This window comes from Homo sapiens, chromosome 18 (assembly GCF_000001405.40).
Source record: "Homo sapiens chromosome 18, GRCh38.p14 Primary Assembly".
NCBI classification, from domain to species: Eukaryota; Metazoa; Chordata; class Mammalia; order Primates; family Hominidae; genus Homo; species Homo sapiens.
Genome location: NC_000018.10, coordinates 60,199,699 through 60,225,245, shown reverse-complemented (window position 1 = coordinate 60,225,245; position 25,547 = coordinate 60,199,699).

Genomic DNA, 25,547 nt, shown 5'->3' with positions numbered 1-25,547 from the left:
AACCTAAAAAGCCGGGAGAGAATGGTATGAATGATATACTCAGGTTGCCAAAAGAAAAAAAAAAACTGCTAGTCAAGGGATACTATAACCAGCAGTTATCTTTTATAAATGAAGGAGAAATAGTCTTTTCCAGACAAGCAAAAGCTGAAGGAATTCATCACCATTAAACTAAGCCAACCAAAAAATGCTTACAGGAATCTTATACCTTGAAACAAAATGACAATATCTACTATCATGAAAATGCAAGAAAATTTATAGCCCACTGGTAAAGCAAGCACACAAAGAAGAGAAAGTACTCAAATGTTTCTACTACAGATAACCACCAAAACAACAATGATAAACAATAAGAGAAAGAAAGGAATAAGGAACATATAAAACAACCAGAAATCAACTAATAAAATGGCTTATTAATGACAATGCCATAATAATAATGTTGAATATAAACTAAACTTACCACTTAAAAGACATAAAATGGATCAATGGATTAATAAATTATGACCCAATTGTATGCTGCATACAAGAAACTCATCTCACCTGAGTCACATATAAACTGAAACTTAAAGGATAGAAAAAGCAGAAACAGCTATGCTTAGACAAAACATATGCTGTCAAAAACAGTAAAAAAAAATGAAAAAAGTCATTATAAAATCATAAAGGAATTCAGCATATAATAATTCTAAACATACTTGCACCCAACACTGGAGCACCCAGATATATAAGCAATCATTAATAGATCTAAAGACAGAAATAGACTCCGATACAATAATGGCTGGGGACTTCAACATGTACTCAATATTAGACATATAATCTACACATAAAATTAACCAAAAAAATTGGATTTAAACTGCATTTTAGATCAAATGGACCTAACAAATATTTATAGAAGACTTAATCCAACAGCTATAGAATATGCATCTTCTTATCAGCACATGAAACACTCTCTATGATAGGCCATATGCTAGGACATAAAACCAACTCACAAAACATTTTTTAAAATTGAAATAATATCAACTATCTTTTCAGACCACAAAGGAAAAAAACTAGTAATTAATAACAAGTAGAACATTGAAAACTGTACAAATAGATTACAATATTTGGAAATGAAACAACATGCTCCAGAATTGGATCAAGAAAGAAAAGGAAACAATTTAAAAATTCTTGAAGCAAATGAAAATCAAAACACAACATACCAAAACCTATGGTGTACAGCAAATGTGGTGGTTAAAGGGAAGTCCATAGCAATAAATGCCTACACCAAAAAGTAGAGAGGTTCTCAATAAACAATCTAACCATAAACCTTAGGTAGCTAGAAAAGCAACAACAAACCAAACCCAAAATAGAAGCAAAGAACAGAAATAAAATAGACACTACGAATAAATACAAGGGATCAGTAAAACAAAAAGTTGCTCTCTTGAAAAGATAAACAAAACTGATAAACTGCCAGGTAGACTAACCAAGAAAAAAAGGGAGAAGATCTAAATAAACAAAATCAAAAATGGAAAAAAAAGATTAGAAGTGATACCACAGAAATTAAGAAGATTATCAGAGACTACTATGAACAGCTATATAGTATCAAACTGGAAATCCTAGATAAAATGGATAAATTCCTAGACACATACAATCTACCAAGATTGAATCAGGAAGAAATGGAAAGTGTGAACAAACCAATAATGAGTAATGAGATTGAATCAGTGAAAAAAAAAAAAAAAAGAAAAGAAAAAACGTCTCCCAAAGCGTGCTGGCATGAGCCTGTAGTCCCAGCTACTTGGGAGGCTGAGGCAGGAGAATTGCTTGAACCTGGGAGGTGGAGGTTGCAGTGGGCCAAGATTGTGCCACTGCACTCCAGCCTGGAAGACAGAGCAAGAATCTGTGTTTAAAAAAAAAAAGTCTCCCAACAAAGAAAACTCCAGGACCAGATGAATTCACTGATGAATTTTACCAAATTTTCAAAAACTAGCACCAATTCTCTTTAAACTATTTCAAAAAAGTTGAAAAGGAAGAAATTCTCCCTAACTCATTCTATAAGGACAGCATTGCCTTGAAACTAAAACCAGACAAGGACAAACAAAAAAAGAACACTGCAGGCTAATATTCCTGAGGAACATAGACACAAAATCCCTCAGCAAAATACTAGCAAACCAATTGCAATAGTACATCAAAAAGATAATACACCATTTTCAAGTTGGCTTTATAGCAGGTGTGCAACAATGGTTCAACATGTGCAAATCAATTAATGTGAGATACATCACAGCAACAGAATTTAGGAAAAAAACCATATAATGATCTCAATAGATACACAAAAAGCATTTGATAAAATTCAACATCCCTTCATGGAAAAAACTCACAACAAACTGGGCATAGAAGGAATGTACCTCAACATAATAAAGGCCATATATGACAAACCCACAGCTAACATCATAATAAATGGTAAAAAGCTGAAAGCCCTTTCTCTAAAATCTGGAACAAGACAAGAATGTCCACTTTCATTACTCCTATTCAACATAGTACTGGAAGTCCTAGCCAGTGGAGTGAGGCAAGAGAAGGAAATAAAAGACATTCAAATTGGAAAAGTCGTCAAATTCTCCGTTTCCAGATTACATGATCTTATATCTAGAAAAACCCAAAGACTCCACAAAAAAACTTGGATTTTATAAATGAATTCAGTAAAGTTTCAGGATACAAAATCGGCATACAAAAATTAGTAGCATTTCTACACACTAATAATGAACCAGCTGAGAAAAAAAACAAGCAATCTATTCCATTTATGATAGCTACCAAAAAAAAACAAACCCTAAGAATAAATTTAACCAAAGAGGAGAAAAACCTCTAAAAGAAAAACTACAAAACACTGATGAAATAAATTAAAGAGGACACAAAGAAATGTAAAGATAACCCATGTTCTTGGATTGGAAAAATGAATATAGTTAAAATGATTACACTACCGAAAGCAATCTGTAGACTCAATGCAATTCCTATCAAATTTCCAATGTGATTTTTGACAGAAATAGAAACAGAATTCTAAAATTTACATGGAACCAAAAAAGAGCCCAATAGCCAAAGCAATCCTGAGCAAAAAGAACAAAGCTGGAAGCATCACACTACCCAACTTCAAAATATAAGACTAAGTACCCCAAACAGCATGGTTTGGGTATAAAAAACACACACATAAACCAGTGGAACAGAATAGAGAACCTAGAAATAAATCCACATATTTACAGCCAACTGATTTTTAACAAAGGCATCAACACTATACATGGGGGAAAAGGAACCCCCTTCAATAAATAGTGCTGGGAAAATTCACAATCTGTATGCAAAAGAATGAAACTAGACCTCTTTCACTCATCATATACACAAATCAACACAAGATAGATTGAGGACTTAATTGAAAGACCTGAAACTAGAAAACCTCTAGAAGAAAACAGAGAAAAGATTTCAGAAAATTGTTCTAGGCAAAACATTTTTGGCTAAGACCACAAAAACACAGGCAGCAAAACCAAAAATAGACAAATGAGACTATACTAAACTAAAAAGCTTCTTCAAAGGAAACAATTAACAAAGTGGAGGGACAACCTATGGAATGAAAGAAAATATGTACAAACTAGTCATTCAACAAGGGACTTATATCCAGAATATATAAGGAACTCAAACAACTCAAAAGCAAAAGTATTCCATTAAAAAGTGGGCAAACAACACAAATGTACACTTCTGAAAAGAAGAAATACAAATGGCTAATAGGTATATGAAAAATGCTCAAAATCACTAACATTATGGAAATACAGATCAAAACCACTAATGTCATCTCACCCCAGTTAGAACGCTATTATTAAAAAGACAAAAAATAACAGATGGTAGCAAGGATGCAGAGAAAAGGGAACTCTTGTATAGTGCTAATAGGAATGTAAATTAGTACAGCCACTATGGAAAACAGTATGGCAATTTCTCAAAAAAAAAAAAAAAATAGAACTACCATATGATCCAATATCCCACTGCTGGGTATATCTCCAAAGAAAAAGAAATCAGTATATCAAATGGATACCTGCATTCCCATGTTTATTGCAGCACTGTTCACAACAGCAAAGATATGGAATCAACCTTAAGTGTTCATCAACAGAAGAACGGATGAAGAAAATTTCATATATATATACACAATGGAATACTACTAGTCAGGTATAAAGAAGAATAAAATCATTGCCATTTTCAGCAACATAAATGTAACTAGATGTCATTATGTAATGTAAAATAAGCCAGGTACAGAAGGACAAATAATGCATGTTCTCACTCATACGTCGAAGCTATAAAAAAAAAAATCGATCTCATGTAGGAGAGTAGAACAATAGAGACCAAAGACTGGGAAGGGTGTGTCAGTGGGTTAAGGGATGAAGAGAAACAGGTTAATGGGTACAAATGTACAGTTAGATAGAAGGAATAAGTTCTAATGGTCTACAGCAGAGTAGGGTGACTCTAGTTAATAATAATGTATTGTGTCTTTCAAAATAGCTAAAAGAGAGGACTTGCAATGTTCCCAGCATATAGACATGATAAATACTGGAGGTCATGGATACCCCAAATACCCTGAATTAATCATTACACATTCTATGCATGTAACAAAATATCTCATGTATTTCATAATATGTACAAATATTACATATCAATATTTAAAAAAATAAAATGATATTGCTTGCAGTTGAGTAAGTTTCAAAAGTCTACCTAAAAAGTAAAATGTTGGATTAAAGTGTGAAAGATCTTTTGTAAGGCAATTTTGACACAGGTGAAAAGAGAGAGTACTTTCTTTTCATATAAAATAAAGTGCTTTTGAGGGGAACATCACCCACCGGGGCCTGTTGTGGGGTCGGGGAGGGGGAGGGATAGCATTAGGAGATATACCTAATGTTAAATGACAAGTTAATGGGTGCAGCACACCAGCATGGCACATGTATACATATGTAACAAAACTGCACGTTGTGCACATGTACCCTAAAACTTAAAGTATAATAAAAGAAAATCAAGGTGGAAAAGGAAAATAAAATGCTTCTCATAAATTACTAAATCCAATCTATAATTTATTACTTATGTTTCACGTTTTATATCACTGCAGGCCAAATTTAAATGTCATACAGCTCTCCCCCAACCCATCCACTAGGTGTCTTAGTGATTTGGCTGGAATGAATTTATTGTTTGGAAATTCAGGGTAACAGTCTGCAATACAGTGAAAGAGGTGAATGTTAATGATACAAAATGTTTTCTACGTTCCTACTCCTTTTATCAGAAATAATAGCTTTCTTCTCCTTTCTCAAAAGTTCTTCTGCAGATTTTCTTCCCCAGAAGTTTAAGGTGGTAAAGATACTTCCGGGACTTTAACCTAGATTATAGAACATTTTTTCTCTATTTAAAAACATGTTGTTCTATGAAAATGAGGGAGTGCAATTACATAAATTGGATAATTTATTTTATCTCATCTTCCCTAGTGTCTTAAAATTTGGGTTTCAAGCACAACATTTATAATGTTAAATTTAAATTTTGAGGCTGCAAATTGCCTTAAGGTGCTTATTAAAATTCCATATAAAATTGGAATAAAGTAAATATAAAATCAAAATCATTTCTATACATCAAAGAGAAAAATATATAAACTCCTTATTTTAGGGAATAATGTCATTTTCTAAAATTAAAATTTCATTTTCTAAAAAGAGCTTTTCCATTCCTATAGAAAAGTATTCTATAATCCATATAGTTCAGATGAGGGTTGCTAATTATAGTAATCAACTTCTGTACCATAGAGCAGAATAGATGACTGAAGATGTGGCCATCATAGACCTCAAACCCTGCCGCAGGAATTGGTCCAAATATCATGATAAAATAAAAATTCTCAAATGCTTTTAAGGGCCAAGCCTTGTTCTAACATGTATTAATTCATTCAGACTCATCCTTAGTTATTTGTGAGGTCCCAGGCGAGAATAAAAATGGAGGCTACATTTTTTATGTCTAATTTTAATGTTATAAATAAACCCTATGCCTAACATGAAAGGACTTACCCATAACCAAATTAGGGACTAAACGTGCCCCCAGGGAACAGGAGTGCACAAACTCCTCTCTAATATCTCACTTCCCATTCAGGATTTTCAAACCACTCTAAAAGCCTCCCCAAACCTTCTCCCACCCTAGCAGAAGGGAAGGAGGAGGTGGTGCTATTATCTGGGGAACCTGGTCTGCTCAGCCACCTCGTTTGGGGCATCCAAGGCAAAGCAAGAGAAGCCTTCCTGGTTTCTCAAAGCAGAGGCTGTGCATAGCCCCTCCCCGGCACTTAGTGCTCTGCCCACTCCCCTGAGTGTTTGGGTCCTCTCCCCTAATTCTCACTTGCCCATTTGGTTATTGATGTTTCAAAGCCTTTCTGTAAGACTAAAAACAAAAATCCAGAGAGTTTCAAAGCTCGATATTTGCAAAGCTCTTGTATTATCTTGTTAGGATTCCCATGACTAAATACCTCAGACTAGGTGTGTTAATCTGTTTTCACACTGCTGTAAAGAAACTCAAGACTGGGTAATTTACAAAGGAAAGAGTTTTCATTGACTCACAGTTCCACATGGCTGGGGAGGCTTCAGGAAACTTACAATCATGGCAGAGGGCAAACCAGGTACATCTTACAAGGCAGCAAGAGAGACAGAGCATATGAGTGCAGGAAAAGCTACCATTTATTAAAATCATCAGATCTTGTAAGAACTCACTATCATGAGAACAGCATGGGGGGAGCCCACCCCCATGATTCAATCAACCCCCTCCCTCCCTCTACACATGGGGATTAGAGCTCAAAATGAGATTTGGGTAGGGACACAGAGCCAAACCATATCGTATGTAATTTAAACAACAGACATTTTTTCTTATAGTTCTGGAGGGCATAGGTCTGAGGTTGAGGTGTCAGTCAACAGTGTTGCTTTCTTTCTCAGGCCTCCCTTCTTGGCTTGTGATAACTGTTTTCCCTTTGTCCTAACACGATCTTTCCCTGATGCCTGCACATCCTTGGCATTTCTTCAGGGGTCCAGATTTCCTCTTCTTAAAAGGACACCAGTCAAATTGGATTAGGGCTCAACCTAACAGCTTTATTTTAATCTAATCACCTCTTTAAAGACCCTGTCTCCAGTTAAAGTTACATTCTGAAGTAGGAAGATTTAGGGTTTCATCATATGAATTTGAAGGAGACACAATGCAGCCCATCATAACCGTCTTCAGTGTAAGACCTGAACAGGAACCTCTTTTGCCCAGGTCTACAAATTTCCCTCATTTTAAAAGCTTATGATTAACACCATATTACAGATAAAGAAATTGAAGTGCAGAGTGGTTAAGTAACATTTCCAAGACCACAGAGGTAGGAAGCAGGTGCTCCAGCTCCAGAGCCTGTGCTTTTAGCCACAACCCTCTGAGTTCTCCATGAAGGAGGCACATATGACCAAAGCTAAGCCAGTCAGAGTCTCTTCGAGGAGTGTTTGAGTCTGAGCTGGGGAAAGAGTCCCATCCTCTCTGAATCACAGATGTAGCTCATGAGCTGCTCCTGGTCATTCCCACTACCACCTGGAAAAACTTGCCTAAAGGAAAAAAATGCTCATCTGAAGATAGGCAGTGTGGAGACATGCTTGCCCTGCTAGGTTGGTCCTGGTTGGCCTTGCCCCTTTGAGGTTTGACTAGTTCTCCCTTTGAATACAGGTACTAACAAGCACCCTTCTGATAAATCTTTGTTTGCTCATGCTTTGTTTGGTAAGAGTCAGTATCAGTATCTGTTGCTTAGAACCGAAATAATCTGGACTAACCCCAAGTAATTCAGAGAACTATATCCAATTCCATTTACTTTGCGATGATCTCTCCTTATTCTTTAGATTCAGCAGACAAAGTTAAAACACATCAATCTAAGAAGCCACCTTTTTAAAATCAGTTCTTTTCTCGCAAAAACTCTGCTTTGCCAGTCTCCATGTTAGAATGTTTATAAAAGAACAGGAAGCCTCTTCCAATGACCTGACCAGCATGGAACTATTTTAGAAACCAGCTCTGTTCTCTCTGTTCTCCATCCCTCAAATCTTCACTCTTACTATTCTTCTCCTTTATCACTGTAATGTGACATGCTGAGATTTTAATAAGGATTCATTAAGTTATAATATATCCTTTGACAAGAAAGAGTGAAAAGCATTCTACAAAATTCATCAGTACCGCAAATGCAAAAAGCAAACCACAGGTACTTTATTTTTTAAGATTCTCATTCTCTGTTAGGGTAGAAGACGTGATAACAGTAAAAAGCAATTAAGTAGTCAGGGTACAAATCTTAGTGAGAAATTATTCAAATTCTACAAAGTAATTCTAAATTAAAATGCCACCAACTGCGGCTATACATGATTAACTGGATTCAGTCAATTTAGGCAGAACTATCAACCTGGCTGGAGGGAGGACAGAGCCTTAATTAAAATATTTCAATGTGGCTGAAAATTCATTTTCATAGTCACACTGAATAAATGGTTGGCAATTTTAAAAAGCAAATAGATTGATTTCTGTTTATTTTAGCTTCTTATTAGAATATCCTTATTGTATGTTCACTGTATCTCCAATAGTATATTCTCCATTGCTATGGAATATAAATCAGTAGGAGATACTATTCTTGTACTCCAAAAGCAGGGAAAATTGTATGGGTAAAAGACAAGTGGAGAACAATATTTGCTGCTCCCAACAAAATAGGAAATCTTTTACCTTCCTGTGTATCTAGTGTAGCTATAAATACATATTAGATTCTAAGTTCATAATTGTTGGTTGATGAATAATCCTGTGTGAGAATATATGTTACAGACTAATGTTTTCTGAATTAATTTGACTGCAGTACATGGTAAAACTTTTTAGTATGCTGACACAAAATGAATCCACGAGCATAGACAAGAAAAAAACTTATTAACAAAACAAATATGTTAGCTTGTAAGACAATATTCTTAACATTGACAGGCATTATAAAATATAGGAATACATTATTTCAAAGGTTATACAGTCAGCAACCCTCTGAATCAATTCTCAACTTCAAGTCTTACATCACCCATTCATGCTTTGCATGCTGATCTCCCTAACCACTTGCTAGGATTTGGGCTAAACCATGACAGTTCTTAGGCAGTTGAATAATTGTTATGCCATAACAACTATCACAACAATGTGTTTGGATATTTCACATAAAAGTTTAAAATACATTTTAGAAGTAAACATCTCCCTAGTCATGGTTTCTTTTCACCAGGTTCCTATGCACACTTGTAGGAGCAGAATGGCAAGGAGCATGAGCTGCATGAAGACTCACTTTGTTCCAGGTTCTGCCACCTAATAGCTATATGGGTGTGGACAGGCGACCTGATACCTCTGGGCCAGGATAACCTCAGATGGTGATAATGATAGTTTTGTGATAATAATGGTAGCTAACTCACGGTAGTAGATGAAATAATCTGTTTAGTTGGGACAACACTTGGTACCTGGTAGGAGCTTAATAAATACAACACTTTTTCAGGATGGTGATGTCAACAGTAAGAAGCACGTAATTCAGAGAATGGAGCCCTACTGGTCAAATGGTGTGGGGACTTTGGGGACTGCAGCTGAGTCTTGAGGATGTATGAGCTCTACCCTGTGGTCTCAGTTTCTGCTGAAACTGTGCTTGGTATACCTGCCACGCTGTAAACATTTAACAAACGGGAACTAATGACAACAGAATTAAGACATGACCTGTATTGACCAAATCTGGAGTATTATAATATTGTCTCAGAACAGAAGATTGCCACATTTTTGAGATTTTAGACCGGTAGGCAGACTTCCTAGCAACAGCAGACCAATACTGTCTCTCAGTTCCTGGCAATGACAAAAAGATGAATGATCAAGTAAGTCCGAATTGCCTTATGTGGCGATTCTGTAGAGAAAATCCCAGATTTCTCTCCCTTCACATTATTTGAACCTGACCTTTCTGCAACAAATCTAAGATCAGCCTGTTTGGCCCTTGATCACCACAACTCTGGTGGCACCCAGTAAATCCTGGCATGACAGACAGGCAGACACAAAGCTACATTTTTCTGAAAACCATTTCTGTAAGTAGAATAATGTTACATTTTCTATCATTTTGTTGCTGTTGTTTATTGGAAACATTTGGAAAAGGTTTATGCTTACGTTTCTGATGAGGTCTGACCAACTTTTTACTTTTTTAAAGCTTCAAGTGCCCTTCTGAAACAGAGGCAGGAAGTGATTACCCAGGCCTCATAATCAGTCTGGAAGTTTCTAATAGGTAGGATGACCCCAGGAAGAAAGATTAATACCACAATTATTGGGCTAGAGAGGCTCCAAACTCCCATAATACACACCTTCTCTGTGGCATTCCCATGGACAATTAGGGATTCATCAATGAAAACCTACCTCAATTTAATCCACTCTAAGGTTCAAACAGCTAACAAAACCCATGTTATCACCAGGCCCATAGAGTGTCTTAGCAGATATCAAGGGAGGCGTAAGAGTTGTATGTATGTGTGGGCAATGGTGTTGGGGAATAAGCCCTTCTTCAGCAATTCTAAGCATAAGTGATATCTGCATAGGCTAGTCTTTGGGTTAGAGATGCTACAGGAAAAAAAGAAAGTACTCATAGGCACAGAAGTCCAATGAGTCTAATATTCAAATATTCTCTGTACAAAGACCATGTAGACAGGTCTTTTTCAGAATATGCTAGTCCACCAGAACTAGCTGTTCCAGACTGGAATTTTACCTACATCTTGGACTTTAATTCTTCACAATTCTATGCTGTCATCGTAACAACTGCTGCCCATGTTCTCTTTCAACACTTCCCTCTTTTATTAGCAACATGTGGCCAGCCAGCCTTACCTGATTTCAAATTAGTAAAGGATAATCCTGCTGCAACATAATTTTGTATCACTTTGACAACCAAATCGGGACAAATTAAGAATCTAATATTACAAAATATTATACTATGTGTCTTGGCAAACAGGCTTTTTTTTTTTTTTAATAGAGAGTCTTGTTCTCTCTACCAGGCTGGAGTACAGTGGTGCGATCCCAGCTCTCTGCAACCTCCAGCTCCTGGGTTCAGTGATTCTCCTGCCTCAGCCTCCCAAGTAGCTGGGATTATAGGCACATGCCACCATGGCCGGCTAATTTGTATGTTTAGTAGAGACAGGGTTTCACCATGTTGGCCAGGCTGGTCTTGAACTCCTGACCTCAGGTGATCTGCCCACTTCAGCCTCCCAAAGTGCTGGAATTACAGGCATGAGCCATTGCACCTGGCCAAATATGCATAATTTAAGGTCTCTGTTTACAAGAAAACTTAAAGTCAAATCAGAGGGGAAAAGTTATAAACATGGTACAAAACTAATCAGATACAAAACTAAATAGAGCTAATTCATCACATGACCAGAATAAAAATTCAAAAACACATAATTAGACCACAGTGACAGATACAAACAAAAAAGCTCTGAGATTTCATTCTTTCCAAAAGTCAGATGCTCAAATAGAAAGGGATGCCTCTTAGCAGGAATGCTTATAAAAATTCTTAAAATAGGAAAAGTAGACATATTTGGTGGATTAATGGATTTTGAACAATCATCAAATTCTGTCTCCTACAAAAAAAAAGTGTGTTTTTAGTCTACATTAATAGCAGTACAATGACCAAATCAAAGGACCTAACAGAATCACTTTATTCTGTACAAAAACCTTGGAATATTTTTGGTTATTATTTCCTGTCTATTTCACACATATTTATTTTATAAATACCGGCAAAGTAAACCACAGGATACTAAAAGAGAAACGGCAGTATACTGGCAACTTTTTGTTATCTTTGTCCCAACTAAAGAACTGGGAATATTTGGCCTTAAGAGGATTAGAAGTCATAATGGGAGCCATTACACCAAACTTACTGAAGAAATAAGAAGCTCGTGCTATAAGTGGAAACCCAGAAACTGGATATCCATCTTTATGGCATTCGTTGGGAGGATTTATGCTTTGAATAGGAGTTAGATTAGAGTTATCTTAGATGCCTTTAAACTTCAAGATTCTATCTGCCTTTGAATCTAATAAGTACAGAACTGGAGATAACCAAGGAGAGAGAATTAAACTAAATAGAGTGGTAGAACTCTACTAAATAGAAGAGCACAGAGTATCCAAGTATGAATCCAGCCAAGCAATCATTGCTGTATTAGTCTGTTCTCTCACTGCTATAAAGAACTACCTGAGACTGGGTAATTTATGAAGAAAAGTTTAATTGATTCACAGTTCTGCAGGCTGTACAGGAGGCATGGCTTGGGAGGCCTCAGGAAACTTACAATCATAGCAGAAGAACAAAGGGAAGCAAGTACCTTCACGTGGTGGCAGAAGAGAGAGGGCGAAGGGGGATGCACTACACACTTTTAAACAACCAGATTTCATGAGAACTTGTTCGCTATTGCGAGAACAGCAAAGGGGAAGTCTGCCCCCATGATTCAATCACCTCCCACCAGCTCCCTCACCTAATATGTGGTGATTACAATTTGACATGAGATTTCAATGGGAACACAGAGCCAAACCATATCACGATCTTTCCTTGTCCTCTGTGTTAATATAGAGCATTCGTCTGAGCAATGGTCAGTGTGTTCGATGTACTGTGCTTACTCAAGACAAGACTCCTGAGTTCACAAATATTTGTGTGTCTCTATTTAGAAAAAAAGGATAAATTAAAGATGCTATTTGCATACAGGCAGCCCAAATAGCTGTCTTTCCCCAGAAAGCTAATTTACTTACCATTACACGTACATATCAGAGCCTCCAAAGTGCCATGAGTGTGTTCATCCCAGGATGTGCCAAGATAATCCACTGGGCCATGGGGAAAAGTAATGCTTTAGTAGTAGACTTCTTGAAAATTAAGAATGTATTTAGGCCTTACTAACATTTACTATATGGATTGATATATATCATATAGTCAAATGTCAAGGAGGACACAGGAGAAATCTGAGGGAGGAGTGGAGTTCTACCAGAAGACTCACTGAAGTTGCAGTTTTTACTCCTTATTTGTCATCAAAATATTACAAAGTAGACTTCTGGAAAAAGTATTTATAGATTATATGAACTATCTTAACTCAACTCTAACAAAATGGACACACAGCTTAAAAACCTGCATACAAAGAAAGCAGAGGTTGTTGATAGTATTTATAATGTAAGGTACATGTGATCAACAAGAAAATATAAGAGCTGATATTTCTCCTACTGAAAAAATAAGCTATTTTTACCATCCCGGAACCCCAATTCAAAGGTAAAATTATAATCATCCAATGAGAAAAGGTGAGATCCTCAATCTCTGATAAGAAGAAGACTATCTATAGTATAAATTCGCCTCCAGCAGAACCAGTGATAAGCTTCACACTAAATGCATATTCAGCCTCCAAAAAAGTAGCCTATGGTTGTATGAGACTCAGTATGAGCAAGACATTTAAGAAGCCACCAGAACACCACTAATAAGATCTGAGTAGGAGAAAAATCATTTTTGTACCATAAATGAATAAGAAAAGTTAAATACCAGGGGTTTTGCCATTTTTACACTATACTTTTTAAAATGTCTCTATTTGTGTTTTTATAAAATCAGTATAACAGAGCTTGTATATAATTTATAAATTTATACATATACATATATGTATGTATACATGTTGAAGTTTCAAAATATTAGCTGATAAAGAATATATATCAAATATGTACATAATAAAATATATTAGTCTGTGTAAATGTGTGTGTTTAGTAATCATTTTATTTAGAAGTTTACAGTTTAGCTATAAATGCTCAGTCTTTACAGAGCTCTGAAATTCTCGTTAGCCACTTTAGCATCTAGAATTTTCCTCATTTATTTATATACAGTCATGTAACCTCTTGTGTTATTTACCTGGTTTTTCAGGTTACCACCTCCTCAAATCCTGTAAAAATACTGCCTGGTTATTTTATGAAACAGTAAATTTTTTTACCTACTTACTTTTCAAATAATGCCTTTTCCTTATAGTTAATTTTTAACAGTTAATATTTACAACTATTTTTTAAAGTAAACCAGACAATTTGTATTCTAAACTCTCAGTGATTACATTTTAATCAGCCAAGTCTCTCAAATCTGAGATTAATTTTATGCAGATGCAGTTACAATGGCTATTTCTATCAGAGGAATTCCTCTAGGCCAAAGCAACAATCGCATCTATATTCATTATTGTCCTAAATTAGATATATTAAAGATACATAAACCATGAAGACACATGGTTATGTTTCTATGTAATACTTCTCAACTGACTCAAATGGTTTGTGTTTATACATCTGATTAGAGAATCGAAAATATTTTTAAAAGCACCTGATACCAAGAGATGATAAACTATATTTTTATAGATCATGGTTTATTCATATTTCATGTTTAGACAGGTATAAATACGTCAAACTTGAAAATAGCAGCTACCGATGTCTTTGATAGCAGTAAAATAAAATTAACTTTTCCTTTTAATTCTTGCACAACTTAATGTATATTCAAAATAATTAGACAGCAAACGGAAGTCCTTCTCTATTGGTTTAGTTATATGTTTTTGTTTCCAGTATTGTATTTGCTTGATTTATTTCATATCTCATTCTCTACCTGTACTAGTTGCTTTTATTTTTTGAATAAAACTCTTGAAAAGTTTAAGTTTGGATTTAAAATATTAAGATAAATGGTAACAAATGAACTTTAATTAATATTGAAATGAATTAGGATTCACAGAACAACAGTGCTATGCATTGGGGAGATTTCAGCCCCTAAGCCACATAACACATTTCACTGTAAAATTTATTAGCAGAGTTTTCTAATCAGTTCAGCTCTAATATTCTACCTTAGTGAGCACATATCCAAACGCAGAAGCAGCTACTTCTCCCCTCGTATCATTATCAGTTTGCTTCTTTTCCCATCTTCCCCTCCTTCTCCTTAAGTATGTTTTATCTCAGTATTACAATAGCTCAAGAAAAACAGCCTGATTTTTAAAGAGTACTCAGTTTAATCAAACTCGGATGATATTGAAGACTTGCCCTTGAGATTGTCTAGTTCCCAGAAGAATCAAATTAAATAACATTTTTACAATAAGGAAATAAAATTTCTTGTATAATCAAGTATTTAGTCTGAATCTAAACACTCACCAAAGCTTTCTGAGGAACCTCCATGCTGCTTTCCACAGTGACTGTGCTAATTTGCATTCCCACCAATAGCATATGAGGGTTTCCCTTTCTCCTTGACTGCATTTTGACTCCAGCCCATCGCATGAGGTCAGGTGTGAAATTTTCTACTTGTGGTGTCATGTCAGTGTTCAAAACACTTTGGATTAAGGAACATTTCAGATTTTGGATTTTAAATTAGGGATGCTCAACCTGTACTTAGAGATAGGAGGATACAGAGAAAGGAGGTACAGTCAGCATCAAAGCAGCTTTAATCTCAACACAGGAGTGCATAAGGAAGATGAATATACAAGTAACTAAGCTTTATGGCAGAATTGGGAAAGTAGCAAGAGAGAGGCACTTCAGAAAGCTGCAGGGAGTTCAGTGTAAGAAATAAGAAAATATTGTTAGCTGGGGATCTGCATCTAAGAAAGATGTGAAGGATAAGTAGACTCTGGTCAAGAGAGAAGAGCCTTCAGGTAGAGAGAAAAGGGTATGTTTACTCAGAAGCAGAAAAGCACTAAGACCTGTCAGGGATGAGGGACATGATTTGTTAGCATCCACAGTACATAAGAAAATGTTGGGGCATCAAACATGAAACTTCATCAGTTACCACTGTGTTTGCCTACAAGTAAAAGAAAAACCTCATTATAGTGGCTTAAGCAAAGAGAGGTTGATTTGTTCTCATATGAAGAAGTCTGGAAGTAAGCAGTTGTCTGCTTAGGTTTAGTAACTCAAAGTTATCATGACCTTTCTCTGTGGTTTCCAGATAGCTGCTTGGGCTCTGTATTCACAGGAAGAAGAAGAAAAGGGAAGAGATTATATTATAAATTTCAACATGTATCTCGTTGGCAAGAGCTATGTCAAAGGGCACCCCTAATTGCAAGGGAGACCAGGAAATCAAGACTTCAGCTCTTACAGTCTTGACAGTAGACACAAACCAGAGAGAAGAAAGTTGAAGTTGAGTGTTGAAGGGGCAAAAAAAGTCAACTGCAAGAGCATAAAGGGTTGTGAGGAGGAAGATAGAACTTACCTGGGCATTAGAAGCAATGAGCGGAATTTTCACAAGAGAAATAGTATCTAATGGGCTAGCTAACAAAATAACAGGCTATATCTAGCATTAGTAAACAACAATCTTAGAAATATTCAAATGAAAGGTGAATGACTTCTCGTGAGAAGTTAACACACACACGCGCACACAAAAACCCTGGATTGAAAAGAAGATTGAACTAGAATGGAAGCAAAAACACCCAGCCCCTTTATTGCAGTCTGCGTAGCCCTTCTCATCATTTGGGCTTGACCTGCATCTATGGGGCACACTTGTTTGTGCCAGTGACTTCCAGGTCTCAGAGCTGTCCCAAGTCCTTCACATTCCCCATTCCAAGAGCTGTGACCTCTAGTTCAGTTTCTATCACTCCCTATGAATTCTTCAAGTTTCTACCATGTCACATGAAGTGTTGAAGCTCCCTGGATAAGGAAAATATCAAGTGTAGAGCAAGATTTTCTATCTCCACAGCTTCCCTGGTTCCAAACCAAGACAAACTTATTTCCTAGACAGCTTCTGTTATATGTCCCTCAGTTCCTACTTTCTTTATTAAACCCAAAGAATTGGTTCATATCTATTGCATGTTTGGAGTGCCCTGGAGTTAGAATATCCTGTTCCCTATTGCATTGTAATGATGACCCTGGCTTGATCTCCAGTTTCTACATTTAAAAAGCAAGAGTAATTGTAGTTTTGATTTATCCCCAGCCCTGTTTTCTTGCTGACTAAAGCCACTTGCGAAGAGTGTTGTCTATTGGTTGCGAAAACATAAAAAATGGGCTGAATGCAGGAAAAGTTTATGATGAACACTAAAAGCACTAGAGATAATCAATACTAAAGTTTGATGCATGTTCTTTCAGCTTTCGTCTAAATAAAAATACACAACAATAAATAAATTATGCAGGTGTGTTTGTGCAGAAAGGTTTCATTTAGAATCATACTGTGCATACTATTTATCCACCTGATTTATTGTCACTTAATGATATGTCACAAGAAGCTACTTTTTATGATTTTAAATATTCTTGAACCAGTAAAGCAGCATCTATAACACAGACACAGCCACAGAATTTTCTCTAGATAGAAAGCATATTAAATTACTGAAGTATGTTTTCTCTAGAAAAGTGGGCCTTTCTTTGCTTCTGGTGGCACAAGTGACCTTAGAGAGGGGACTGGCTAAAGTAGATTTAACAAAGGCAAAGTAGGCCATAAGCATCATCTTTTTTTATTTGGCCTGTTGCCTTGCACTGTTCTTCTGTGTCATTAACACCCACCATGCTACACAGCTTCTGAGGAGGCTCCACTTCCACTGGAATGACTGATGAATGTGGATTGGAAGAAACTTCAAGATTTCTAATTGTCTTACGGTAGGAGAGTAGATACTCTAAATACAGTCAACTTCAAGCCTTTTGGGGGTGATATTGGGACGGGAAGCTTACTTCGGCCACCTTATTTTGAATGAAATCAACACCATGGATATTGGGCGGGGGCAAGTTACCTCTTATTTCAGAAAAGGATTTCTGGGGAGAACCCACCATTATTTCTCTTCTCATCTTCCCACTCTTATCTCCTCTTTTCACATCAAAGATCCATCAAATCTCTGTGGCAAGCCTGGTAATAAGTTTTCTATGGTGGTTTTAAATTAATGGGCATTAGTCAGGCCCAGTGTCTCAGACCTGTAATCCCACCATTTTGGGAAACTAAGGTGGGAGAATCACTTGAGGGCAGGACTTTGAGACCAGCCTGGGCCACATAGCAAAATCCCATTTCTACAAAAAAATTTAAAGTTTGACTACAGGTATGTGCAGTGTCACGTGCCTGTAGTCACAGCTACTTGGGAGGACGAGGTAGAAGGATCACATGAGCCCAGGAGGTGGAGGTTGCAGTGAGCTGTGATCGTGCCATTGCACTACAGCTTGGATGAAACAGAGTGAGACCCTGTTTCAAAAAATAAAATAAAAATAAAAAATGAATGGGGGTTTCTGTAAGCCTACCTTTTTGCCAAATACTTCTAGGTTCTTAATGCCATCAAATGAACACATGTTTAGTAAGCATTTACTCAATGCCCTGTCCTCTGTTACCAGGAAAAAAAAAAGATATTATTAGCAACAGGGCAATGATAATTTAGTTCTGGGTCCAATACAAACATGGCAAAGACAATGAAATAAGACAATGTTAACTATATGATAAATTTAAACGAAACAATTGAGGCCATGCATATCATAAGAATTCAAAGAAGGAGATCGATGAGTATTAGGATAGTCAAGGGAAAGGCAGAACCCAAGCTGGAACTTGGGAAAATATTTCTGCTGGAGACAAGATGTTGTGCAAACTGTGGAAATTATGGAAAGATAAGTGGAGGCTCTTTCAATTGTCCTGTGCACACAGGAACACCATGTGTTACCTATCTGTTCAACAAACATTTATTGAGCAATTCTCTATCTCAAACCTTATGCTAGGCTTTAGAAATACACATGTGAGCAGGAGAGACAAAGGCCCTACTTCAATCATCCCGCATTCTGGAAAGCTCTCTTTTACCTGTGCTTGTAACTAACCATGCATCAGTGCAGCTCACCATGTATACTAAGATGTATGTTGTTTCTCCAGGACATTTGATCAATATTTTTATGTTTGATACATCATAATAGTTGCTGACCAAACAGTAGAAATTCTACAGAAGATGACTTTTGACAACTGAAAAATAAAATATACAAATGTAATTTTTAAATAAAAATGTTTTTCCTCTCATCATTCCCTTTGGTCAATATATAATTAACAAAACTCATTGTTTTTGCACCACTTACTTTTCAAAATCTATTTGTTATTATTTATTTTTCTCATGATGTTTTCTCCAGTTTCTTGTCACCACTAACTCATCTTTTCCTTCTCATATATCCTCTAACGCTAAGGTGATTGAACTTTAGAAACACTGGTAGATTTCATAAACATCTACAAATAAATGATTTAGCAAATAAAACATGAGACAACTCACCACCAATCAGCAATCAATATATGCTATGTTACATACACCAAACTAAAATGACAATTGATGGAATCATAGAAGCTCTTAGATATCATGTACATCAACCAAACACATGCTTTGGGTAAGTTATCTTCAGAATCCCTGTTAATCTTTCAGCTACTTCATAAGTATTTCAGATAAAGGGGTCCTCACTACCCCAGGATAACCTGGTCCACTTCCAAGTTTTTTTCTGTTCTTTTTTTAAAAATATATACAGCCTATATTTTTTCTCTATATAACTGTAAACCATTGGTTCCAGCTCAGTTTTCTAAAACAACCCCTAAGAATCTGTCGCCCTTCATTCCATGACTACCTTTCAGAGATCATCTTGTTCCATAATAAAATCTTGCTTTAGACCTTTCTCTTTTCAAAGTTGATCATACTTAGAGATTTCTTGTAAGACATGTTTCTAAATCTTTCCCCTAAAATCTACAAATGAAATAACATGGCTGCCCACATTTCTAAGAAAACTAATAAAATTAAATCATTATTGTTTGCACACTGTTATGTGCAAATGATGTCATTTTCTGTTGGTACCACAACTAAACACGCTTAGGGGAAATGATTTATTCCCCATAATATAAAGGTAATTAGAATTTACTTCCTACAAAAAAAAACAAAAACTGCTGCCCAACATCTGCCCATCCCACAAGGTATTCCCACCTTAGACACTGTCCCACCACTAGACACTCTCTTGGATTAAGCATTGAAGACTTTTTAAGTTGTATGTGTTATCTGTGAGAGCTTACACTTTGAGCAGTGATATCAGTCTCTATAAAGGCTTTGGGAAATTAAGAAACTAAATGACAGGCAAAGGGTAAAACTAGGAGTTCATGATGTTACCAAAAGCACAAAGTAGACATTAGGGTGATTTGGCAGGTCAATGTGAAGCTTGAGGTGAGCTGTCAGAATTTTGAACAGAAGGAAAGAAAAGAACACAGGCTAAGAATACTCCATAAAGGAGGAAAGAGACAGCCCTAAAAAGTCACAGTGAATCTTCTAACCCGGCTTGACAAATATGTGGCTTTACTTCAAGGGCCCAGAGAAAGGAGAGCTCTTAGTCCAGCTGTCCTAGTGACCACATTGCTGCAATACCTCCTAGCCACTTTTATATAAGTAATAGATTTACAACACAAGACCACCTTGTGAAGCCCATGGACAGCAATGCTCTGCCCAGAAATTGTCAGTAGGATATTTATCTACAGAGAAGCATAAATAGATGTACAAAACACATAGAGTTACAATGTCCATAAAAATAATAGCATTTGAAAACAGTTGAGAATAAAGGCAGTGGTGTCAGTCTCTGTGATGTGTTGGTGACCATTCATTGGCATAAGTAAGAGAAGAGGATTAAGCATTTCACTTTCTAATAGCTCTAGTACCCAACATCTAAAGAATTCTCGGGAGTGGTTGTCCAGCTCTGTCTACTGCTTAGTATATGTTGGCAAGAGGGAAGGAGGAGGGTTAGAATGAGAAATGCCAATTGATACCTCACAGGTCTGCCTGCTAGAGGTCAGGTCTTGAAGTCACAATGGAAAGGAGAGATGTTTCAGTGCCCAGAGCAAGGGCTGGAAAACAGGCATTCTTCTTGGGATTCAGTTCAACACGGAGTAGCTACTGAAGTTTAGTTCAGTGTCTACAGCCTGCTCAGCACCATGCTGAGGTAGACATAGTTTCCACTTTCATAGACAAAGTCTGATAAGAAAGACAGATATTACTGCAATGAGCTGTCATCTCACCCCAGTTAAAATGGCTTTTACCCAAAAGACAGGCAATAACAAATGCTGGTAAGGATGTGGAGAAAAGGGAACCGGCACACACTGCTGACTAAATTATTAGGTTGATGCAAATGTTACTGCAATTTTTGCCATGACTTTTAATGGCAAAAACCTCCTCCTTCCTTCTTGCCAATATATACTAAGCAGTGGATGGGGCTGGACAACCACTCCCCAGAATTCCTTAAATGTTGGGTACTAGAACTAACAGAAAATGCAACGCTTACTCCTCTTCTCTCACTTATGCCTCTGAATGCTCACCAACACATCGCAGAGGCTGACACATTACTTTTAATGGAAAAAACCACGATTACTTTTGTACCAACCAAATAGGACAATCGCTGTGGAGAAGTTTGGAGGTTTCCCAAAAAACTAAAAATAGATTACATGGTAATATGATCCAGCAATCTCACTGCTAGGTATATACCAAGAAAAAAGGAAATCAGTATATTGAAGAGATATCAGCACTTCCAAGGTTATTGCAGCACTGTTCACAATAGGCAAGATTTAGAAGCAACCTAAGTGTTCATCAACAGATGAATAAAGAAAATGTGGTAAACATAATATAAACAACGAAGTACTATTCAGCCGTAAAACGAGATCCTGTCATTTCCAACAATGTGGATGGAACTGGAGGTCATTATGTTAAGTGAAACAAGCCAGGCACAGAAAGACAAACTTTGCATGTTCTCACTTGTTTGTGGGAGCTAAAAATTAAAACAGTTGAACTCATGGAGATAGAATAACTACTAGAGGCTGGGAAGGGTAGTTGGTGACAGGAGGGGTAAGGAGGAATGGCTAATTGGTATAAAAATATAGTTAGATAAAAAAGATCTAGTATTTGATAGCACAACAGGGTGACTACAGTCAATAATTTATTGTAATTTAAAAATAAAGAGTTTTAAAAATTGTTTATAACACAAAGGATAATGCTTGAAGAGATGGATACCCCATTTACCCTGATGTGATTATGCATTGTTTGCCTGTATCAAAACATCTCATGTACCCATAAATATGTACACCTATGTACCCACAAAATAGATGTTTAAAAAGACTTTTAAAAATATTTGTAAACAAATAAAACTGTGATATGCAATGCACAAAAAAAGCCAAAAAGCCTGTGAGATTCACAAGTGGTACAGTGGAGAAAACAATTAATGGAGTCTGGAAGGCAGGGAGCACTTCATGTAAAAAGTAATGCCTCAGCAGGGATTTAATCATGAACAGTGTTTTCAGGAAGACAGGAGACAGATGGGCATTCTAGGAAGAGACAAGAACACATGCAATGGCAATAATGTGTGGTGAGAACTCACAAGAGGAAGTGATGGCTCGCACATTAGCATGGAAGGGAGAGGACAGGGCACTAGGGAGGGGCCAGACCAGGAAGACTCTGTGCAATGCATAAAAGAGCTTTGGCTTCACCTTGCAGGCAAAAGGGAGTCATATAAATATTGTGAACAGGAGCTTACACTTGGAAATTTGAAGTTCAGAAAAATTGTACCAGTCATAGTGTAGAATACAGATTTGAAAGAATAAGAATAGAAGAAATTGATTTAGTAGTTAATGAAATAGGGAAGAAGCAAGGAAGGGAAGCAGGGGCTAAGAACCAGAGAAGCCTTATCAGCCAGGGTGCAAAATTAGACGGTAGAAGCAAATGGGCAATGAGAGAGACCACAACAGACAAGAGGGTAGCAAGGAGCATGCAGGCACAAAGCTGATTTGAGGTTAAACTTATGTGGAGTAAGGACTTCTCCGTCACTTCTCTGATGTATAACTGGGTGACTGTTTACTTAGAGGTCATTTCTTAAAGGATAAAGTTCCCCTGGTCTTTAGTGACCATGGCTCTGACAGCCACCAGGCAGCATAGGAGGGCTCAGGGCTGCAGCAGAGGCAGCAACAATGGTAACACAGTTCCCTAAGGTCCTGGGACCTGTCAACCTTCCTTGGTGTTAAGCAATAGGAATGGGACAGGAGGCAGCAAGGTTCTCTTGTGCAGCAACACAGGGCCAGGGCAGCAGCTAACAGCTCACAACTTTGTGGTCTTTGTTAGTAATCTGGGAAGACTGGGTTAATGAGAATCTCAGACAACTTATTGGAAACCTCCTAAGTGAAAGACGGTTGAAAACCATCTGTGACTAGTTCTACAGCCTTGAAAAGGCAGAGAAATGGCTTTGTTAAATGAGGAGTTCGACAGTAGCACTATTCAGAGTTCATGGACGATGTGGAGGTTAGATTCCAGAACCTCAGCAGTACAAGGGTAATTTCTCTTGAGGAAGCCAGGCTGCTGAGGAAAGAGTGAATAGATGGTCTTTCATAGGGTACAATCAGAAGCAAAACCACCATAATCAACAGGAGGGAAGAAGGCACCCCTGGAGGAATGCTTCTCCCCTCTCCCAGGGTCTAATAGCACTATACTTATGGTACTTCCAGTGCCTTTAAGGTTTTTGTACATCTGAGCAAAGGAGAGTACAAATCTTAGATGTAAGAGGCTGGCACACCCCTGGAGAATGAGACTTTTCACATGGAAGTCAACTGGGGATGAGACATGTGCCTCAGTCCAGAGTCGTCCACAACGTGAGAAAGCCAGGGCCCCAGGACTCTCTTTGTCTTGGTCACCAAGTGAAAAGGTGCTGACCACATTCCTAACCCAGGGTCATAAAACAGTGTAGGAAGCTAGGCTAAAAAAGAAATCTAGGAAAGTTGTAAGCACCCTTCAAAATTCAAGTTGTAGGCAGCGTATGGAATGGAATAATTCTGCGTGTCCTGGGAATGATCTAGTGGGACTGAATGGAAATGGAACTTTGGTATATACCTCCATTATTAATGGTATATGCTAGATACTTTTATTCCTACATACTCTTGTTCCAAGCCCTCCACCTCCTTTTGTTCTTAGATTTTAGAAATGCCATTTTGTTTTCATGAAAAAGCATTTTTATTCCTTACTATCACTTTAATTTTTTAACTTCCATAGGTTATGGGGAACAGAGGTTTTTGATTATGTAAGTTCTTTAGTGGTGATTAGTGAGATTTTGGTGCACCCATCACTCAAGCAGTGTACACTACACCCTTTTTGTAGTCTTCTGTCCCTCACCCCCTTTCGACCCTTTCCGAGTCCCCAAAGTCCATGTGTCATTCTTATGCCTTTGCATCCTCACAGCTTAGCTCCCACTTACGAGTGAGAACATATGATGTCTGGTTTTCCATCCCTGATTACTTCACTTAGAATAATAGTCTCCAATGTCATCCAGGTCGCTGCAAATGCCATTAACTCATTCCTTTTTATGAGAATAGCCATTTTGGAAGCCCCACCCTGTTGTTCTTGATCTTAAAAGAGAGGAAAGAGTTCCCACTTGGAACACCTGCTAATGAGAAGCAGGTGATTCTCTTGGGGTAGAGGTGGTGTTAGATCAATGAACTAAAGGAAACCCAAAGGAAACCACTAGACTCACCTAGAAATTCTCTTTCTCATAACTAAACATTAGAGGTTCTAGGTTTGTGGTTTCACGTACTCGAAACAGCAAACTCAGTGTGTTAAGACAGCATTTATGAGGCCATTTACTAGCCCATTGAAGCTGTATAGGGATCAGTTGGGTGAGTGAGGGTGGGAGGCTTTAGGTGTCAGGATTATAACCATGGCCCTTGCCTGGTAGCACTCAGCCTGGCACCCAACACAGCACAGGCAAACTAGTCTGCTGATGACAATCCTAAGAATCACCTGGAGGGTCTGATTCAGTAGGTCTTCCCCAAATATCTATTTTTAGGAACTACCACAACTAATATTTATGATCTTTACTGCCAGGTATGAATGGGAAATTCAGTCTCATTCTAGGATTATAAATCAACAAATTAAACTTAAGTATGGAACATCTGAGTTAAGTACATAACACACTATAACTTCGCAATTTTTCACTTTACAAATGAATGGGCAGGACTGAAAAACCTGCAAGCTTTCAGTACACAGCAAAGTCAAACTGTTACATTTTGAACGTCAATACGGTGTGGAGTATCTATTAATCCTACCTGAGCCTTGTTTGCCATTTCTGTAACATAGGAATATGTATCCCTCCTACATACCTCATTGTGAGGATTAAATAAGTTATTTGAAGTTACTTGCGAGAGCCCAATACATAGCAAATGTTCACCAAAGGTTCATTCTCTACCTCCCTTTGCATCATTGAAAAATATATGAAGGTATACTTTTTAACATATGGTTTATTTTGTTTTTTCCTCTTTTTTGTCTGTATAAATGTAAGGAGTACAAGTGCATTAACATGCTCTGAATTAATAAGGAATGCAAAATAAGAGGCAGAAACATCAATATTCCAAGTCATGTAACCCAACATTCAGAAACAGTCCTCCTCAGCATAAGCCTCCTCTACACAGAGCTGTCACATTTGTTTTTTCATCACAATCCTCTTCTCATGCAGCTTTATGGCCATCAAAACATTTTATTTTGTCTTCTCTTGGGTCTATGGTTCAAGGATTTTATGCTTATCAGGTAAGCCTTATCGTGTCTATATGACAAGTATATTGAGTTATTTGC